This window comes from Homo sapiens, chromosome 12 (assembly GCF_000001405.40).
Source record: "Homo sapiens chromosome 12, GRCh38.p14 Primary Assembly".
Classification (NCBI taxonomy): domain Eukaryota; kingdom Metazoa; phylum Chordata; class Mammalia; order Primates; family Hominidae; genus Homo; species Homo sapiens.
Genome location: NC_000012.12, coordinates 24036735 through 24059269, shown reverse-complemented (window position 1 = coordinate 24059269; position 22535 = coordinate 24036735). Strand labels below are relative to the sequence as shown.

The window sequence follows — 22535 nt, the reverse complement described above, 5'->3', positions numbered from 1 at the left end:
TGTGAATATGGATTTTCTATCAAAAACACAGGAGTGCCGTTTTCAGAGTAAGGTGAAATTTAATGCCAGAATTTCAATATTGAAATCTCTTAGAGATCAGACTCTAATGATGAACATAAAATGTAATATGCATACAGTATATGTGTATCTATGTGTAAAGCACTGTATATAATTATGTAGAGAGTATTTCTCTAGCAAGTGATAATTTTAAACCCCTGAAATGTTATAATAAAATGAAATAGCATAGCTAGATTAATGCAGTGTTTCTTTAGTCTTGGCTATAGACTATTCACAATTCCAGGAAGCACATATTTGAGATATCTTTTCATAGGAATCATGGAAAGGCCCCTTGACATCAGTTTTCACCTTATTTGGTCCTGCCACCAGAAGCAGCAGCTGGAATGGAACCTTGTATGTAACTACATATGTACAATGGGACCTTGTGCATGAACTATATTTATTTATTTATTTATATACTTACTAACAGGCTTATTACAGCAACCTGATGAAGGTTCAGGATCATTTACTCTTTTTACCTAGAGTAAAAAGACTACTTCTAAACTGTAGCTTTTAGACTGGTATCCTAAAGGCTAAAAAGCCTGTATCTTTTAACCAACCTGAGACAATAACTATTTCCTCTATACTTACAGAATTTTTTTCTTTGCAAAAGTAATAACACTCAATAAACAAGAAAGTGCTGCTAGCATTTTGAAGTTCTCAGCTAACTTACCAGCAAAGAAAATTTACTGTGTCCTGTTGTATTTAGTATAAAAACAAGTGGGGCATCCTAGAGACAGAAGTGATTTTTCTAGTGGGTTACCTACGAGGGGATGTATTGATTTCTATTGGTAGTACTGGTCTCTGCCTGCAGATGTACATTGTGTCCAGGGTTTCAGAAAACAGAGCTTTTAATTCATTGTAAATAGTAGCATTGTGTGAAAGAGAATTTTTTTTTTAAACTACAACTACAAAAAATATTGTGCACATCGGTTTAAAATGAATTGACCTTTTGTTTCAGTGAGGACGATGTGTTACTTGTTATGGAGTGACTCCATTTGCCCATGCAAATAAGCACAAAGCCAGGATATTATCAGGCAATGGCAAAATTAAGAGGTAGGTCAGATTTAATGGAAACATCTGTCATTAACCCTTTTACAGAAACTGCCTCAGGGGATCCTTGCAGATAAAAGCTATGCTGAGCTATCTTACCTTGCTTTGCAGAGCTGCAAAAGGATGGCAGTCATAATATGCAGATTCTGATCAAAGGATTTACTTTATGGCACATTTTGAAACACAGAAGAAAATACAAGGATTATTTTGTGTATTTTTCTCTTCGCAAAAAATTTAAAGACTGTGGAGAAATTAACGTTGCTGTTAATTTCAAGATTTTACACCAGCAGACTTATTTCTGCTATTGGCTACATTATGCCATTCCAGTGAGTGTCATCTTACAGTTCCTCAAATCACAAATGAACTATTGACATGCTTTTTCCAAAAAGGTGGAAAACATGAAATTAAGAAAAAAAATGTATTTATAGTTACACGTGGTAACATATTATTGCCTGTGTTGTGGAGTTATAATTTTTTTAAAGTTAATTTTGTTGACAGTATTATTGAAGAAAATTAAGAAAGTTTGACAGTCATTTGGATGCCACTTATTTTTGTTACTTGATATTATCGGTTACTACTAATAAAAACATACCTGAGTCAATTTGCATTTGCGATGAAATTTAAAACAAAACGATTACATCATGTAGAAATCTTAAAAAGACTAAGTCATGCACCTTTCATTTAAAATAGTTTAAAATTTTTATATAACACAAAAGTGTTGATAATATTAACTTGCTAGCATGTAAAGAGGGGGAGAAATGCCTGAGTTTCTTCATAGGAAAAATATAAATCCAAAACAATGTTTGCTGTGCTTCAGTTATGTTGTTCACAATGTAATTACCCTTAAAATTATTTTGCTCCTTCTTTTTTCTTAATAGTTTTAGTTTACATTTGCTTTGAGTATAGGTTTTTTATCAATTCCTTCTTTATATGAGTCTTTGTGTCTTCTCTCCCTTAATTTTCTTTGTCTTCAGACCATCCTCATGTCCATGTAGCTAGGTTTTTTCCTTCTTTTATCTATTTGAAACTAGGATACGCAGATTAAAATGCACCTCTTTTTGGAGTACATCTCCCTCTGAATAAGGCCTTAAGTTATCTAACTATAGAAGATTTGTAACATGAACAGAGAGGCCATTTACTTACTTACTTTCTTTTTTTTTGTTGAATTTTTTTTTTTTTTTTTTTGAGACGGAGTCTCGCTCTGTCGCCCAGGCTGGAGTGCAGTGGCGGGATCTCGGCTCACTGCAAGCTCCGCCTCCCGGGTTCACGCCATTCTCCTGCCTCAGCCTTCCAAGTAGCTGGGACTACAGGCGCCCGCCACTACGCCCGGCTAATTTTTTGTATTTTTAGTAGAGACGGGGTTTCACCGTTTTAGCCGGGATGGTCTCGATCTCCTGACCTCGTGATCCGCCCGCCTCGGCCTCCCAAAGTGCTGGGATTACAGGCGTGAGCCACCGCGCCCGGCCTGAATTTTTGATATAATATCTGACCCCCTTCTGTAAAGTATAAGAGGCCCATAGAAGTTTGTGCAAGCAACAGAATGATGAGTCATTTTAATACGCACCTCACCTCCCCAAAGCCATGGGATTGAATTGAATCGAAGTTTCTGAATATTACTTTGGAAAGATTAAGGAGGTGGCATGATGGAGAAATAGAGCAACCATGGATATCCATCTGTCTTTTAAAAATCCAATATTAATTTTGTAATTTTAAGCATTAATATGTTTGAAAACTATAGTCTGACTTTTTAAAAACTTCAAGTAACCTCAAATTTCAACTACAGGATTAAATAGAGTTGAAATTATTTTGTGATGGGTTTATATCCATCAGGAGTTAGCATTTCATGTCAAAACATCATTCATCTCTTTGGCTTCCTGTGTGTTGTGTAAGTGTGGATCTACATGGTGGGTCTCTCGGTCTTGGACTTTTCAAAGGTGGGGAACAAGTCACTGATCATTTAAAAGCACTTCTTTCAACAGTATGCACAATTAGGCACCTAACTGGTGTGTATTTTTTTAATGACAAATAGTTTTGGTGATGGCTCATACACTAGTACTTGAATTCAGTGTTTAACCCTCCTAGGTAAAGGAGGTCATGGCACAACGATGTTTAAAAAAGGTGTGGCACATGTGACCCTAGACATGGTTAAAGATTGAGAGTGTTCAATGCTATCCCCTTTTCCCAAGTCACAGTGCTGTGGGCTCTATTTCCCAGAGGCCAGTCTGAGCTGTTTGTTAATTGATAAGTAATGTAGGCTTCATGGAGGGTCAGCCACCTTTGAACACTAACAGGAACATGACATTTACTAAGATGGTTTTACCTTTCACTCTGTTAAATAAACCATGGTAACTCCTAGGTGTCATTGTACTAGTTTTTCTTTTCATTGTTTAAAATGTCATTGTACTTTTTTTTCTTTTCATTGTTTAAAATATTCTTTGCAACTAATTGTTAGACAAGATGAAGGGAAATAATGATTTGGCTGAATCACCCATTTATTTTGAAAGAATCTTATGTCTTTTCATTTTTATCAGTCTTTGATGATTCTAAGAACCCTTTTGGTGTTTAAATGTACAGAGCAAGACCTATTGGTCAACCAACATGTTGTTCCTGGTTCATAGGGGGAAAACACGATGCAGAAAAGAGGGTCTATACCACTCAGGGTGGCAGAGATTGATGTTTGAAACTTCGTTGTGACAAAGAGGGAGCTGTGAACTTTCCTTTCTGATTTTTAATTTGAGGTATGACATTGACTTCTTTTTTGCCATGTCCTATAGACTGTTGACCGGTAGCTTATTATTACAGACTTCTATCAGTTATAAGGACTGTGAGGGACCCCTGCCATATTGTATCCCTCTTTGATAATCAGGGCATGAGTCACTGGCATGAATCAGTAGGTCCCTCTTCCTTGAAGGAGTTTTTGGAAGTAGAAGCAGCAGCATTCCTGACTGATGGGCCTGCTTGGCCTAAGTCTAAATGATCCTTGGGATGAAACGTTCTCCTGCTGATGGCTTTTTTCCCAAACTAAAAGAGTACATTTTTATGTTAAGATGTCCAGAACCATTTTATTGAAAATAAAAGCTATCTTTTTATCCTCATTTTTTTTTGAAAATTTTGGTTAAGTTGCTTTTTTGAATAGACTCACAAGGTTCAGAATTTCAAAAGTATAAAAAATGTGTACAGGAAAAAATCTCTCCCCCATTCCCATTCCTCATTTGCTCAGTTTCCACGCGCCTCACTCCCCACAAATAACAGTTGTAACTGGTGACTTCTGTTTTATTCTAGATTTACATTATTTGCTGATACTTTTAAACAAGGTTATACCTCTTCTCCCCCAATTTATACATGCCCGTGTTCACTTGACTTTCATAGAACGTCTTAAGACGAAGTGACATTTAATAATGTGCATGTTGAATCTGGGTACTTTTTGCTTGGCTTTGCATTCATCTTTCCACTTATGTTTTGAAGAGAAATTTCATATTTTCTTTGCTCTAATTCTGGTTGCCAGGATGGCTGGGTGCCATTCCTGGAAGGGGTGTGTGTTAGAGTTGGCACAGACAGAGCAATTGGCACAGGAAAAGGAAACCATGCCTGTGTCAGGGAGATTTATCTATTCATTATTTTAAAAATTATTGTTGTTACCATCATTGACCATTTGTTGTGTGTGTGACCCATGTCCTGGGTAGCATTCTAAACAAAGAAGAAAGCCATGCCCATGTGTAGTGCCCAAGGAACTCCCAAGTGGGCGTGTTGAGACTCTATCTATGGTAAGATTATGATTTTTAGTAGCTAGATCTTTAGTGATAAGTAGAAAATAGTCCAGCACAATTGTTTTCAAACTGTTCTCTGAGGAAGATGTAGGTTCTTTGGCAGTAACCCTGGGGCCAGTTAGTGAAGGGGAGGGAGGAGAAGGGACATAACTCTTTTACTTTAATCGCTCTTATATATTGTGTCCTCGTTAAGATTTCTATGGAAGAAATATTTTGACAGCTTTAAAGAAGTTTGATATCCGCTGCTCTAGAAGAACAAATTCCCTAGCTGGAGTCAAGAAGTCTGTGTTCTTTAATGTCTTGTTTTCAAATACAGTAAAGAGTTGCATCTTTCGATTTTTCTTGACGCACAATGACAGTGATTTTGTAGTGCCATGGAAAGAACACAGGCCTCAGAGCCATAGAGCTTGGGGGAGAATCTCTGTTTCATTACTTCACTGCTCTAAGGCTTTGCGCAAGTCACTTATCCTCCCTGCATATCAGTTTCCTTATTCTTACAAAAGCAGTAATCATACCTGCTATGTTAGGTTGCTATAAAGATTGGAGATAAGATACATAAAGTACCTAGTACAAAGTTTGCCATCTAATAACACTCAATGAAAGCTATTAAATATGAAATATAGAATTTATGGAAATTCTTTAAGGAAACTCAATGTCAAGTCAATAAAGAGAAAGACATGAGGTGCAGCAATTTGAAGAGAGTAAGTTGCAGCCCACTTTGCAAACAATGAAATGACTTTGGGAAAATTGAGTATAAATGTATGTTATTTAATTCACTTACTCTTTTCATGCAGTAGATAAAATCACTATTTATAGGGATTTGGTAGGAAATTTTTTTGGGCAAAGTTAAGGATCTCTTCTTTATAGAGTAAACAGTGCCCATTTTATATTGTCTAGGTTTGAGTTTTTGAATTTTACATTTTCTTTAAGAGAGATATGTGTATGATATAAGAGAGAGTACGGGGCCAGGCGCGGTAGCTCATGCCTATAATCACAGCACTTTGGGAGCCCGAGGCGGGCAGATCACCTGAGGTCGGGAGTTCGAGACCAGGCTGGCCAACATGGTGAAACCCCGTCTCTACTAACAGTATAAAAAAATTGGCCAAGTGTGGTGGTGGGCCCCTGTAATCCCAGCTACTCGGGAGGCTGAGGCAGAAGAATCCAGCCTGGGCAACAGAGTGAGACTCCATCTCAAAAAAAAAAAAGGGGGGGGGCGTGCAGTAGCATTGGCTTCAAAAGTTACTGGAAAGGTGTAACATTACAGGATACCACATATCAAAGTAAAGAAAAAAAGAAGCAAAGGGTGGAAAAAGTTTTTATTTGCAAATAATGTGGAAAAGTCATCTCTAAGTTTTACAAAGGCAGACAAGGAGAACATAGCAGCAGAAAATGATCTAACAATAGTTATAAGATGGGACAATGGGGAAAGATGATCTAAGTTGACTGAGGAGATTTTATTGGGAGATTGATGGCTGAACTTGTAATAAGGAATTTGAAAACAACTCTGTAATTCTCTTTCTCAGATTTTTGTTTGAATGTATTATTGGTTACAAATTAGTGAAAGAATGGGATTTCAGGGTTAAAATCATTAAAACATCAGCACTTCCTTAAAATTGTTACTTGAAGCCAGTTAGCCAGTTTCATTTATGTAGCATCTGGTTGAAGTTTATGTATTAAAAGATGACCATAAAAAACATTTCACATGTCACTGGAATTCAATAAATGAGTGCTGAATTCTATTACACTCAATTCAGGTACATTATGTACAGATAAATCCTAATAATTCTGACAACACTAACTGCTTTCAAATTAATTAGGTTGTGAAAGGGTTAAAAATCAAGTAATGCAAAATTAGAAAACTCATATTTTGAGTTTAAATTGGTAATTTAACTATCAATGTCAATAACATATTTAAGAATATTGAGTAACAGCAATAGCAAGAAAGACATTCACTAAGTTTAATATTAAAAACTATTATTAAAATTAACAAGAGAGTATTAAATATTTTAAAGGTAATATAGGCAGAGCTCATTCATGTTGCAATATTTCTTAAAAATTTATTTCACTTATTCTGTGACCTGAGAAGTTAGAAGTCAGGTGAAAATTTTGCATTTAATGCAGTATTTCATTTACTCTGTTTCATTAATAGTGTCTTGATTCTCTCATTCCTGTTTAAGTTTGATTCCTATTCTCTGGGTAGGGCATGAAACAAGGGGCCAAATGGTAGATTTCTGGGATCTCCTGTGTTTAAGGAGCAGGTAAATGAAGAAGAGCCAGTAAAGGGACTGAAAATGGCCAAGCAAAGATGCGGAAGGAACGTCAAGTAAGGCTCTATTGAAGATAGCCTAGAGAGAAGAGCTAAGAGGATTGTATGTGACAGTTTTAAATGCTAAGGAGAGGTTAAATAAGATGAGGCCGGAGAACAGGCCACTGGACTTGGAAATTAAATGGATATTGATAATCTTTGAGAAAAGAGCTTCTGTAAAAAGGTAGGAGCTGAAGCAATTTGCAATGAGTTGAACAGTGTATAACAGATTACTAAGAAGAGACAGTAAACATGTCCTAGTTTGCAAGTAATGTGGTTGTTGGTAAAAGGGAGAATGAAGCTAGAAATACGGGAAGTTGGATTAACAAAAGAGAATTTGGCTATTTTACTACTAACTACGTGTTTTGACTGCTATTATGACAAATAATCTCCCTTAGAAGGCAGTTTTCTTCTCCTCCTAACTTATACTAAACAAACCTGGAACACTTGGCACTTTTTTCAAAGACTTTTAACAATTTTCTTGTGGATTTTTTCTGTTAGTCTACAATCTTAAATGTAAAAAATTACTTAAACAGATATCTTTATATTGAACTAGCTCTTCGTTCTTGGAATGAATTCCATATGATTATGGTGTATTATTCTTTAATTTTTACTTCTGAGGTCTATTTGCTAATATTTGACTTGCTATGATTTTCTTTCCTTATTTTTAAGTGCACTTGATATATAACGTTTGCATGTATGGGTGTGTGCTTATGTTTATGTGTGTGTACTAGACTATCTCGATTGTTTCTTGGTAACAGAATTATGTTAGTCTTATTAAAAATTTGAGTCTTCCCATCATTGTAAAATTTTGGAACTGTTTCAACAAGAAAAAAAACATTCTTTTCTAGTCAGTTTTATTAGTACCTAATATAAAACTACCTGGGTGAAAGAAAAAATCAACCTGTGCCTTGAATTTGGTTGAGGGTGAATCTTTAATAATCTTTTCAATGTCTTCTATGCTCATTGGCCTCTTCAGGCTTTCCATCTCTCTGTCAAGTTTGGTAACTTATCCTAAAGAACATTATAGTTTGGGTGGAGAAAATTAGTATGTTTTTGGCTATGGAGAATACCTAGTGGATGAGATGGAATTTATGACAAAAAAAGAGAGAGGATCATGTAATTAAGGAGAAAAATTATTCTGGTAGAAAGATTAGATGTATATTTGAATATTCACATGAGTAAATTTTACATCTAGGGATTTAGCCTAGAAGGAGACCTCTCCAAATAATAATAATAATAAGAAGAAGAAGAATGGCTTCATTTATTGAACAACTATATACTTGCTAGACAGTTTATATTTCTTATATTTCTTACCTCATAACAATCATAAAAGGTAGCACTGTTGTCACCATATAGATGAGCTTACTGAAGCTCAGTGAATTTCTGGTATGTTGCTGAGCAGGCATGCATACATAACTTTAAAGAACTGTACCTCTCTGTATACTAGACATTACCTCTTTTGGGATAGTTACCTATTTTCTGTCAAAATTGTTTAAAAGGATGACCTTTTCATAGAAAATAATCTAATTATTACTACTTCTCAGATTCAATTTTGTGGATCTTTTGTTGTTACAGAGGTTTTGTTATTACTCTAAGTATTCTTTGCCTATCGTAGTTTTTTTAAGTAATCAAAGTAAAATATAAACAGACCCTCACATTTATTTCACTGAAATGGCTAGCCCAGTCACCATGAACAGGTATACACTCACCGTGTTTGCTGACGAAGCTTATGATCCTCTGAGTAATGTATGTCTAGTCAACAGGATTGAAGAAATTATACACCTGTTTATGTGTACAAAAAAATGAAAAACCTAGCATTTTTTAAAAATCTTGAAACCATATGACTGGTGATTTTTCTACCTTGAGAGAAAATAATTTAATCTGGACCTTATAAAATCCACATTTTAAGAAACCTCAAAGACGTTTGTAATGATCATATACAGTCACTTATCCACTCCCCTTTTCTTTTCCCTTTCACTTTTTTTTTTTTTTTTTTTTTTGCCTCTGCGCCCACAGCATGTGAAAGCATTGAAAGAAAATAAGAATCTTAAACTCATAAACATACCTGCTTACTATCTGGCAGGCGTCCCAGCAGTCTGGTGATCTCCTTAGTTATCCAGCAGATAGTAGAAAAACAAGAGTCCTGTGAAGATTTCACATGTTGCCATATCCCTGCCAGATGGTGATTTGTAAAACATGGACAAATTGCACTGGCTCCACTTCCCTCCGACAATCACAACAGAAACACTGCAGCAATGGTGTTTAATTTGAAAGCAACTTCAGCTGAGTAACTTTTAAGGTATAAACATCTAAAGATTATTGGGATAAATGTGACATTATCTCCAGAGAACTGGTCCTTCATAAATCTGCTATTCTGTGCTCTGGTATTTCTGGGATTCTCCCCCTACCTCCAAAAAAAAAAAAAAAAAAAAAAAAAAAAAAAAAACTATGAAGGATTGGAAAATATCAACATTATGAGATATCTGATTATTACCTACTGATTCTTTGCCACAACATGATGTTTTTCTGTCATCTAATGATTAGCTGCAGGACTAAAAATCATATTGACAAATTTGCCATGTTCATTGGAATATTGAAGAACTGAATGTGCAGGGAATTCTCTTAATTGTTTTAAAATAATGCTTTCTCACTGTTTCAGTTGTTCTTTGTGGCTGTCTACACAACTCTCAAATCACTGGTCAGTTTAGATAGGAAATGTCAAACAAGTGGTTTAGCGTGGGTAAATAAACTGCCAGTTTGTGGTTTTCACTTTTTCATCACGCCTTGGTCTCAAGGCGTATTTGGCCAAGGAGTGATATCTTTTCAACCCTTTCAGTTATTAGAAGTCTACCTTGACCTAACACACTAAAGCTTTACTGATGCTGAGGGAAAATGATAGAAGAAAACCAACTTCCTTTCCCTGCTGCTATAGCTAGATTTGTTCAGTTGTTTCTCATCTCCACAGGGAATGTGCTACCTATTTGTTCCTCAGGACGTGTATGCTAAGATTTTATGTAACTGCATTTTTTTTTGGCAATAACTTTATTAGGACATCATTTACATTGAGATGTAGTTGTACAAAATATAAACTGAAGAATTCAGTGGGTTTTTTTAGTATTATTCATGGAGTGGTGCAAACATCACCACAATCAAAGCTAAAACATTTTCATCACCACAAAAAGAAATCCCATGCTTATTAACAGTCACTCCTTATTTTTCCTAGAAACACTAACAGCCATAGGCAATCACTAATCTACTTTCTGTCTTTATAAACTTGTCTATTTGGGATATTTCAAATAAGTGGAATCATATTGTATGTGATATTTTGTGACTGATTTCTTTCACTTAGCGTAATGTTTTCAAGCTTCGTTCGTCCTGTGGTATATGTTAATAGTTCAGGTATTTTTCTTGCCAAATAATATTCCATTGAATGGATATACCACATTTTATTTATCCATTTATCAGTTGATGGATATCTGGGTTGCTTCCACCTTTTGGAACCAATGAGTATGAATTCACATTATAAATAATGTGGTTATGAACATTTATGTACAAGTTTTTGTGTCGACATATATTTACATTTTTCTTGGGTATATGCCTAGGAATGGAATTACTGGGTCATTTAGTAGCTCTATGTTTAATATTTTGAAGAACACAGGAACTGCTCCTGTTTATAACTCTTTATTTTGTACAGATAAGGAACACAGTTGGACTTGAGACATGCGGAATTCTGAAATTCATCATTTTAATTCCTACTCCAGAATAGTAAATAGGCATGAGTTTTATAATACATCTAAATTTGAATCCCAACTTCACCACGTATGAACTTCATGATCTTGGGCCTGTTACTTAATATCTCTGAAATTTCATTCTGCCATCTATAAAATGAGGGTAATAACACTGATTTTGCCTGGAGTTTGTGTGCACGGAATGTGATGATGTATCAGAAAGCTGTTCATGCAGTGCTGATCATATAGTAACTTTCTAATGAATGTTATTTTCCTTTGTTTCTTAACTTTTTACTCCTGAGTACTTCAGGTGTAGGGACTGACAAGGAGAAGATTCTTGGGATGATTTAGGTATTCACCTGAGAACCTTCTTGGCTGATTTAGAAGCTCCTAACTGAAGAAAAGGATCACTTGTTAACGTTTACTCTTCAAGAATTTATTTAGAATTTAACAACCAGAAAACATTTAAAACAATGTTTACAAAACACTGTTTGCTGTGACTTTTAGTAAATTAATGTTAAAAAGTGAGACTTTCTTGGAATTGTTATGCAATTGTGTCAACCAAATTTTAGGGTTTGAGGGTTCATTCCACATGCAGACCACCTCATAAGAAATTGACAGGTAAAGGCAGTATGATCTTGTTGAATAATTTCTAGTTAGAGAATGTGTAAAGCCGAGGTATTTGCATAAAGAAATAAACCATTTATGATTTGCAGACACTAGGTCCTGGCTGATCCCATGTGGTAATGCCCACTAGTGCCATAAATTTGCGTAGGGCTTCATAAAGGAGATGTCGTAAGTCATAAACGCCTACAGTCTTTAAGATATCATTAGGAATTTCCTTCTGACTTCAGCATAAACTGTGCTTACAGTACACAGAATGAGTGTTGAAAGATCATTAGTAAAGGGAATTTCATCATTTCATCATGTTCCCCAAGAATGGAGTGTCCATATGAAATAATTTTCTGTGTGCAAAATTGTGTGTAACCTCAATCCTTTTTGCTTCATTTAAAGTCCATTTCCATTAAATCTATTTTTCTGAGGCAGAAGTATTATTAAATAACATGACTATCTGTTAAAAGAACAGGAAAATATATTTCTAGATTAGCCAGTTTTCTCCCTGCCTCTCAATTCTTAAAACTATTCCAGAAAAGGTCAGCCCAGCATAAATGGTGTGATCAGTGACACTGAAATGTTTTCTTTCACCATGTCTTTTGATTGTCACCCTACTGTCTCTTTGAAATTCTAGAGGTATCTGAAAAACCAAGAAAGTGTTATTCGTACCTCCAAAGGGGGAAAAAATAAGAAGGAAAGGAAATATTTTGAATAGGTTGGAGATGTTGTATTTTTGTTTATATTTAAAAATTCAGGGCCGGGAGCGGTGGCTCACGCCTGTGATCCCAGCACTTTGGGAGGCTGAGGCAGGTGGATCACGTGAGGTCAGGAGTTTGAGACCAGCCTTGCCAACATGGTGATACCCTATCTCTATTAAAAAAAAAATACAAAAAAGTTAGCCGGGCATGGTGGTGGGCGACTGTAATCCCAGCTACTCAGGAGGCTGAGGTAAGAGAATGGCTTGAACTCAGGAGGCAGCGGTTGCAGTGAGCCGAGATCGCACCATTGCACTCCAGCCTGGGCAACAAAAGCAAGAGCAAGACTCTGTCTCAAAAAAAAAAAAAAAAAAGACACATTTTAAAACCTTTTCTATAGCTACAAGTTCTGAGGCTAGGTAGCATGTCTTTTGTTTTACTTTTTCATAATTAAGTTGTCTTTACTGATTTATGCACTCTTATAATTCTCTTATATTTTTATGTCAAACCAAAGAGGAATATTTGAATTCTGATAATGATGTCAATTTAATATCATACAATTAGGATATCACAGATATTAATAAGCTTTGTAAATTCTTCTGCCAGATAACTCATGCTTTCTTTTTAAAGCTAAATTTAAATTTCAAGCCTAAATTACTTCGCAGTGTCATTTTAAATTTATAACATCTGGAAAGGGAAAAAAAAGGCTCTCCTTTCAGCTCTTCAGAACAGATTCCATTTCGAGTTCACCAGAAAATTTAGACCCGCCCCAAGTTTCGCTTTTACATCACTACCTTTTAGAAATTCTCTTCTTGCCCACCCCACTGTGGTTATAGTCTCCTCCCCTCTCTTAAATGTGTCTATTACCCTCAGGCTTTGACCTTGGGCAGACTGTGAGCACAAAGTCACGTTATTTAGAGTGAAGTAACACCAGTAGTCAGGAAGGAACAATGTAGTTCAAGCCAGATAAAATAAATCTCTCATTTCCTGTCAAGGGACTGAGCCAAAAGCAATGATGAGAGACAGAGGGGGCAAACCGCGCAACTGGCAACACAGACGCTTGGGATAGACATGACCACAAGCCTCCGTTGAATACAGACAACAAAACCAAAAACAGCCAGAGTGACAGGAGACACATAAGAGCTATGGAATAAACCAAAACATGTGAGACAGAGGAGAACCATGCAGCTCCCTGGCCATAGAAACAACATGTTTGAATTGTTCAAGGAGGGAATCCTACACTGAAATGTGTAAAGGATTCCCCTGTACAGAGGGATAATTTTATAAAGAAACACACCTGTGTAGCTGCCACCATACATACTGGTTTCTGCATAATGGTGGGCTACACATTGAAATTTACAAATAGCCATGGGAAGGAACTCCATGACAATTCAACGGAAGTACATAGCAGTTTCTCATTGGCCCTGTCTTTAAGAAGGTTGTCTTCTGGCCGGCAAGATGGCTCACACTTGTAATCCCAGCAGTTTGGGAGGCTGAGGCAAGAGGACTGCTTGAGCCCAGGTGTCTGAGACCAGCCTGGGCAACATAGTAAGACCCCCACCTCTACAAAAAAATTTAAAAATTAGCTGGGCGTAGTGGCACACACCTGTAGTCCCAGCTACTCGGGAGGCTGAGTGGGAGGGTTTCTTGAGCCTGGGAGGTCTTTTAAGTGACTACTGATTTATTAAACACCAATAGAGTACCTAATACGTACAGATGCTATTTAAAGTTACTTCAAATATTTAATCCCTTTGGTCCTTGAAACAATCCTATGAGGGAAGCATTATTGTGTTCTTATTTTATAAATGAATAACCTAAAGCACTGGGAGGTGAAGTAACTTACCAGAGGTCACATGGCTAGTCAGGGGTGGAGACTTGATCTGAACCCAAGCAGTGGAGTCCAGAGTCCACTATCTTACTTACTTACTATGCTTTTGCTGGATATTTTGAGGCTATGCATGGCCATAACCTCCTAGTGGGAGATTTGACTGATCTTAGTTGTTTGCAAACCCTGCTCAGATTTTTTTGGAACCCACTCTTTGTTTCAGAAGCATATCCAGACTTCTGAATGTTCACCTCAGATCCAAAAGAAATATTTTAAAAACAGTTAGAACATGCTACATTTATTGTAATGCTGATTATTTTGCTTTTGTCCAAGGCTCTTCTAAGATGGTAAGGGACTGAGAGTTAATTCCTTCATTCACTCATTTGTTGCTTTAACAAATATGTATTCTTGAGTGCTTGCTACATGTCAGGCACTATGATGGATAATAGAATAGCCTTCTGGCTGACAAGGCCAATCAGGGATGCATTTTAGGTTCAGTTCGATATGGAATATGCATTGTAGAAATCCTTATGAAGACAGTGACATTCTCAAAGACAAACACTAATTTATATTTGGAGATAGCCAGGAATTTTTTAACTCAATAGGATAAAATACGACTTAACATTTTGAATCTAATATTTAGGAGTATCATGTGGAGATGGAAACATTCTTTAAGGTTGCATACCCAAAGACTCTGCCAACATAATGCCATAATGACAATAGATAAACATACTTAGAGGAAGATCCTGCCTTATCGTGAGAATGTTTCTAAGAAGCATAAAAGTCTTAATTCACTGTCTTCTCTGGTAATCCTTGCCCCTCCCGGACTAGAAAAGGCAGCAATATTTTGGCACTTACTATACCCTGTGCATAGTTCTATTGTGGCACATAATGTATTATTTCACACTTACCTATTAAATGCAACAGTGTTATACTTACCTGCTACACTAAGCTTCTCCGCTGAGGCATTATGTCCTTCATCTTTGTGTTGTCATACACATATAGGAGGTTCTTAGTATAAAATTGTTGAATACATTGATAAATACATTTTGCGTATACATATAAATCAAAGGCATGCACAGACACCTTTATGTTGTGTAGTATTATTCAAATTGTGGATGCCCCAAGGCAAATTGAGTCTTTAAAGACATTGATCATTCCTTTTATAAAACAACAATGATGACAATTTATTTGAATATTTACTATATATTAGGTCTTCCTGTATGTGTTTAGCATGACTTATTCAATATAATCCTTACCCCAAATCTCTGAAGTGGGTACATGCTTTGTTGTAAGGTTAAATTGAAAATTATGATACGTGATGGAGGTTTCAGTATTTTATAATTAAAATTGTTGTTACATTACTAATGGAAAATGCCCAAGAAAGTAAAAATTATATATTGTTCTTCTCCTTTCTAAGAAATAATGCAGTAGTCCAAATTCAAGAGGTAGCTATATCTTATATTTACAATTTTATGAGTAATTCCATAACATTTTAAATATCCACAAAAAAGAAAACTCATGTAGATCAGGAAAGGTTTTATATGTGCAACATATGATTAAGGAAACTTGTGTCTTGTTAGGATACTAAAAACACAGAAATGCCGCCATCCCATGATGAACTTGGGGGACCCTTACCTTAATTTCTGGGGAAATTCAGTAAGAAAGTTCTGTTGGACCAGTTGGACACATGCGGGTAGAACAGATGATTGTCCCAGTTCTGCCATGCTTTATTTTGAATTAGAAAGCGTTTAAACTTTAAAACATTAGCATATATATTTATTGTATGGTGGGCAATGTGTTTTTATATCACACCTTTGCAAAATACAAAATAGTTGAACACAAAAGGGAAATTAATTCAGGAATTCAGATATTTTGTTTTTTCTGGTGTTCTCAATGCTTACGCGTGCAAGGTACCAAATAAATACCAGTTAGTCTCTTGCTTTCCGATATTTATTGACCTTTTTACCTCTCTGCTTTGTCTTCTGTTGACAGAAAATGAGACTTTTGCTTAATTTAACCCAGGATGTTTCCTTTAAACAAAAACAATTACTTCCTTTCTACAGGAAATTTATGAACCAGAAAGTCTATGGAGACAATTCATCTCTTCTTTAGGTAGTTTGCAACACAATATGAACCTCAAAATTGGCTCAGGCTTTGATGGGAAGCATTATCAATTATTTTTATATGCCCCAACATTAGGTTATCTGTTCCAGTCTCTCCTCTACTAATACTCATAGTCAGAATGTAACAAACTTTGGTAAATATTAAACAATACATTCTTTGAGAAATGTTTGCTGAAGGTTCTGTGTGCTTCACAAAAGCAGAAAATGAAATCATTGAGAAATAAGGAATTGCAAATGCCAGCACTGTATTTTAGTCATGAGTAAAATATGAGACTCAAATGAAGGCTATTATCTGTATTGACTGAATATAGTAATGAAAAATATATATCCATTGGTGGATTTCTTTAGCATCCTTTATATTCTCAGTGCAAGTACACACCCAGTGAAATAAAATATCTTGACCAAAACAGTTAAAAGGAAGTAATTTTTTGTGCCACATACAGCTAAACTGTGGAATTCATTGCTGCTGGCTATCACTAAAGCAAATGATACACTAAATATACTTTTTAAAAAAGGCTAAATATATATGATGGATATGGATGACACTATAATTGCATTATCTAGAGAAACTTTCAAATATTCCAGTCAGTCACACTTCAGAATAGCTGAAAAACTTGGTCAGGAAGAAATATTTTAAAATGTTGTTAGTGTAACACGCTTGATACATTATTGAACTCTAGATTCTACTGTGAATATTAGGCATGATTTCAAGAGGGATTCCAGGCCAGGATAAATATGGTGCAACCTGTTTTATCAATTGTAACTTCTTTATTACTGCTTTGTTTATATAATACTATAAAGGTACATATTGATATTATGCTAAAGTTAATGCGTATTTATTAGAACCAACAGTACCAAGGCTACCTAAAACTTGTATTGTTTGTTTATATGCCTTGCATATTTCTTTAGTCCTTTATTTTTATAATAAAAATGTTATATGTATTCAGGTCTGCACTAACTTTTCTTCACAATACTTGAAGAAATATACTCAAATGATTAAATTAGGTATTGATTAATCTTTGGTCTATTTATTAACTTTAAAATACAGTTAGAGTACCCAGTAGTGTGTCTTATGCATGGTAGATGTTAAACAAACAACCTTAATGATTAATTTGGGGCTTTACAAGAGGCCTTCACATTATTTAATGAGCACATAATGTTTATTTTTAAAGTTCAGTTTAAAATAAGTTACAAATTATTATTAATCAATACATCAAATAAAGCAAGTCTTACCAAATTTATTAGTTTGTCATCTGTCACAGGAACATTCTGAAATTTAGAGATGGTAGTTTTTGTAGCCAGGGACAAAAAATGTTATCTAATGTTATTATCTACTTTTTATCTAGACTTCCTTATGATGTTTTCTGAGCATGTATAGCAATTTTATATTTCCCCTGTGTTTTAATTTACATAAGGATCTTTGAATATTTTGTTCACCAGTAGAGTTCGATCATGGAAACAGTTTGGAAAGTTACTTATTGTTTGCAGTTATCAATTCTCAAGAGGAGTTGAGTTTTGAGAAAGAAATAATAAAGTAAGCGGTTTAAGGACTTTAAGCAATGTAGTTATGGTATTATATTGTAAATTTGTAGCCTTTAATCATAAGAATCCAAATGCTTTTTTCTTCATGAAATTCTTAATTGTCAGTATTTCTTAAGCACCAAATTGATCCCTCTGTCTGTCTCCTGAACCCAGTAATTTGTCATTTTTCTGGCATATGGTATTGCTAGTAAGTAATATGAAGCTTATAATTTCAGTATCCTCATCATGACAATTTTTTAAGGGATAGAGACACTGAAACTATATGAATATCTAAGATTAGTATCACTCAATTAAGAAGTATTCAGTGAGCCTTATGATATGCAAAACTCAGGACTCAAAAGATAGAGAAAGCCCCATTTACCCATCCCACTGGGACAATCAAAACTGGTATTTGGGATTCTTCAGCTTTGATATCTCTTATCCATTTGCAGCTACATCAGTTTTCCTACATGTCCAAATTCTGTAGTTTAAGAAATAATAGTATTTTTGATTATTGGTAAAGAGAAAATATTTTTAAATTTAGAGTTGTATTTAACTTATTAAGTGCTTGTTATTTATAAAGTGTTTCCCCCCAGTCACGAAGTATTCTAAGCATTCTACCATTTTCCCAATCACTAGTATTTCCCCCAATCACAAGCAAGTATTCTACCATTAAATGAATTTTTTTTTTGTTTTTTCCTTGAGACAGCGTCTTGCTCTGTCGCCCAGGCTGGAGTGCAGTGGTGCAATCTCGGCTCACTGCACGCTCCGCCTCCCAGGTGTACGCCATTCTCCTGCCTCAGCCTCCCGAGGAACTGGGACTACAGGCGCCCGCCACCACGCCCGGCTAACTTTTTGTATTTTTCAGTAGAGATGGGGTTTCACCGTGTTAGCCAGGATGGTCTCCATCTCCTGACCTCGTGATCCACCTGCCTTGGCCTCCCAAAGTGCTGGGATTACAGGCGTGAGCCACTGCACCCGGCCTAAATGAATTTTTAATAAGCATTGTAGGCATATAGCTTAAGTAAATATTTCATATTTGTAATGAAACATTGAAACATTTCTATTTTTCAATTGTCAGAGAAGATTCATGTAGTTTTTGAACAACCACAAGGGCATTTTGTCTTATGACAATATAATAACAGTATGGTTACAATTACTTTGTTTCTACCATCTTCCAAATATTTACTAGAATTTATAAGTGGTAAATTTGTGATCTTTTTACTTGGAGCAGTTTCATCACAAACCATTTAATAGTTTAGAAAGTAAAGACTCAGAGATGCTAAGTAATTTATTTAAGGTTACACAGTGACAAAGTTAGAACCATAGATATTTTCAATACTGAATTCTGTTCATTTTTCAAAGACTACCTGGAAAAGAAGTCTACAACCTACATTTTTTCCTATTTGCTGGTTTTTTAAATCTATATGTTCCTAGGAACATTATCTTCCTGGGAAAATAATGTTAACATAATTGAACCAGGACAATGAAAGAAATTGATCTGTTTGATCACATTGACATGAATTAAATTTTTAAGTAATTTAGAATTTTAAGTAATTTTAAGTAATTAAATTTTAAGCAACTTAGAAAAATATGTATACCTGGTTTCCATAATAAGATTAAAATTAGCAAGGCTGGGAAACAAGTGTTCACTTCTATTGTATCTGCATAGTTTACCTTCCGACAGAACTGAGACACTTCCGGTAGGACACAATAGGCATTTGATAAAAGTTTCTTGATTAAATGAATGACTTTTCCTTGATTAGGTTTCAGTGTTTCCATTTAATATTTTAAACTATACTCCTGGTACTTTTTTCATTTAAAGAAATGTGAATGATTACAAAAGGGCTAGGGAAAATGAATATGTATATACTGTAGGATATGGACAAAATTTTTATTGATTTGAAAATGCTGAGAATTATTCTACCATTGTTATACTAAGAAAAATATTTTACCATTTTGCAACCATTTGAACTTTAACTACCTCAGGTATATATGTTTCCCCTCTTATTATTAAATGTGAATCATGTTGGATTTGTTAATATATAGGTGAGAATGTTTTATTTTTATTTTTTTCTGGTTGCAACAATGCTGCAGAGTTTTTTGTTTTTATAATCAATGAATTGAAGAACAGCCCTTTGCATCTAACTCATCTCAGTATTATCTATCAATGTTGACTTTAGCAAGACCTTGGACAGTCACCACCACACAATATACTTTAAAGTTTTAAACACTGTTTGTTTTGGCTTGTTTTAGTCCAGCAATTGAGAAATTATTTAGTCATAGCCAATCTTACTTAGACACAGGAAAAACCATCAAATCATCATCTCCTTTTGAATCTGTGTGTTTTTTCGGGTGGCTACATTACTTCTGGGGATATTAAGTGACTCACATGTGTTGGGAAAACTCACAGTTTCCATGACTGTTCACATTTTTTTACTTTAGTATTTACCATTAGAAATGCTATTTTATCCTGCCAGGGATATGGGAAAGGGGGAGAGTTTCTTAAGTCTCTTTCTTAATAAAATTATTATTGGATATCCTATACATAAAATACTGGTTATTTTCTCATTTCGAAACTAAGAAGAACATGTAGTGAATATACTGGTTTTAAAAAGCAGTGATAATTGTGAGAATAATAACTTTTAGTTTTTAATTAGATGTCCAGATAAAAACCACAGAGAATTCTGTAACTTGGTTGAGCCTGATGTGATACACATCTGTAAACAGGACTGAGATATTGTAAATATTGATGAAAGTATTGCAGTGCAGAAGACTCGGAAATAGTGGACAAACTGATTTCCACTCATTTTCTACCACATACTACTCAGGAGTGAATAATACGAAGTTGAAAGGGTTTCCTGAGAGGGGGACCTCAAATCTAAAACATGTAATTTCCCACCATAAGAAATGGATAAAAATATGTTTTAATCTTCCTTTACTTAAATTATATTGTGCTCTACGTGGACCACTTTTCACTCTTGAAAAAAAAAATGCTAAGCTAAGTAGGGGTTGAAGTTCCCATTGTGTCAATAGACCTCAAGAATGTGGCAATATTTGGTTGTGTAATTAATTTGCTTCACAAAGCGAAGATCCCACCTTAGGATTTTTGGAACTGACACGGGAACTTCCCAAGCCCAGTCACATGTCATAGGACTAGTGAAATCCTGTTCTATGGGTCACTGGGAATCACAATAGAGCAATTCCCTCTTTACTCCTGGTTTCTAGAATTGGTATTGTCACTGCTCCAGAAGGTAGCAGGAAAGCCTGGGAGGGATGAGTTTGCAGGGCCAGTGAATTCCACATCCCTGCCACTGACAGAGCTTCCTGGGAACCCAAGATACACGTTTTACTCTGAAGAAACTTCCACATTCACATGGTTTCTGGCTGGAAGAAAGGTTTATTTGGGACTCTTTTATCTCTATCTTCCTGTGTTAATTTTGGTAGGATTTTGCTTTTGAGTCTAGAAACTGTACGATTTATAGAGGATAATTTTGTCATATTTTAAATCTTGGTTTCTACTCTTTTCCCCTTTTGTATGTCTTTCTGGGGAAATAGGTAACTGAGTGGCTTCAGAAAGCAACCTAAAAATATTTACATGCATGATTCATGCATGATTTTTTAATGCGTTCAAGTGTCAAGTTTCGGTTACTATCTTCATCAGTGTTCTGTGTAAAAAATTGCAACTGGCCCGGTAATAGTACCATTAGGACTCCAGCATGTAGTGCAAGTTAAGTGGGGAAGTGGTGTTGTAAGTTGCTAGACAGACATCAGTTAGTCTCTATTTTGAGCAAATATTTTAGTAAAAATGAATAAATAATTTTGTATTTGTAGATGTGTATGAGTGCACATTCATGACATGTAACATCTTTTCCTAAAATTTTATATTTAACTTTTGGAATAGAAATAAGTTTAAGACTGGGATATTTTGAATTTTTTAAGCTAAATATTACTTGAATGATCTATTTCACTGTATACTTCTTAGTGCATTTGATATTTGCCAGTCTCCTTACCCACTTTCTCCAACTAGTACAACCATGATCATATGTGGAAAAATTTGAAGTCACCATATGGGCAGGTGGCTTTTTTCTTATTATTTTTTATCTGTTTGTTTTATCTATACATGGTTCACAGCAAGTCTATACCTTGGTTCACATAATGATTGATTAAAATCATGGAATGTTTTTACTGTCTTTTAATGGGAGTTACTCTTGTGCTCTCAATGACAATACCAAGAAATAGGCTCCAAGGGGGTGAATGTCTGTCTACATATCAACCTATCTAGTTAATAGGATTCACTCTTTTGCTGTCTGTATATCTGTTCTATGTATGTGTGTATATGTTATTCATTTGAATTATCTTAAGAGCCTACTTGAATAGCTTGCAAAGGTCAGGGAGAGTTCAAATGATGGAAAAATGGTTTATTTTCTCCCTCCCCCTCCCCCTATCACTAATGCTAACTGATGAAGAGTGCCTGTGGTGTCCTTCAATTTAAAGAGACAACCTTGTTCATTTGGAGGGTGTGAATGCCATTCTTGTGAAATACTGTAAATAGTAATTCACAAGAGAGTGACTTTTTTATTGCCTTTACATTGATAACATGCCTTGCAAAGACTTACAGTTATCCTGCTGAATTTAAGAGAGATAAGAATGGAATGTGTGTGTTAATTTAAACATCTGTACATACAATAAAAGGATTCTTTATTGTCAGGAAATCAGATCCTATTATATATGTTTACCAACATTAGATAACTTTTAAAGTTGTTATCCAATATGTGAATATTGTATTATTTAGTTTTACCTCCCACTGCCTTCCTGAAATATTGAGAGTAGGGCTATG

The 22535-nt window shown here is 35.2% G+C and overlaps 1 protein-coding gene across 22 annotated transcripts in view; it reads left to right on the top strand.

Moving 5' to 3' along the window:
* Positions 1–22535, top strand: part of SOX5 (SRY-box transcription factor 5) — a 1033147-nt gene that overhangs the window by 503381 nt on the left and 507231 nt on the right. Inside the window, exon 1 of one of the 22 annotated variants that reach the window (XM_017019894.2) lies at positions 9187–21093. The exons of 20 other annotated variants lie outside the window; for them this stretch is intronic. The gene's annotated coding sequence lies outside the window, so the exon portion shown is untranslated. Of the gene's footprint in view, positions 1–9186; positions 21139–22535 lie in introns of those variants that run through there. One more of the 22 variants, XM_047429462.1, reaches the window with a different exon arrangement.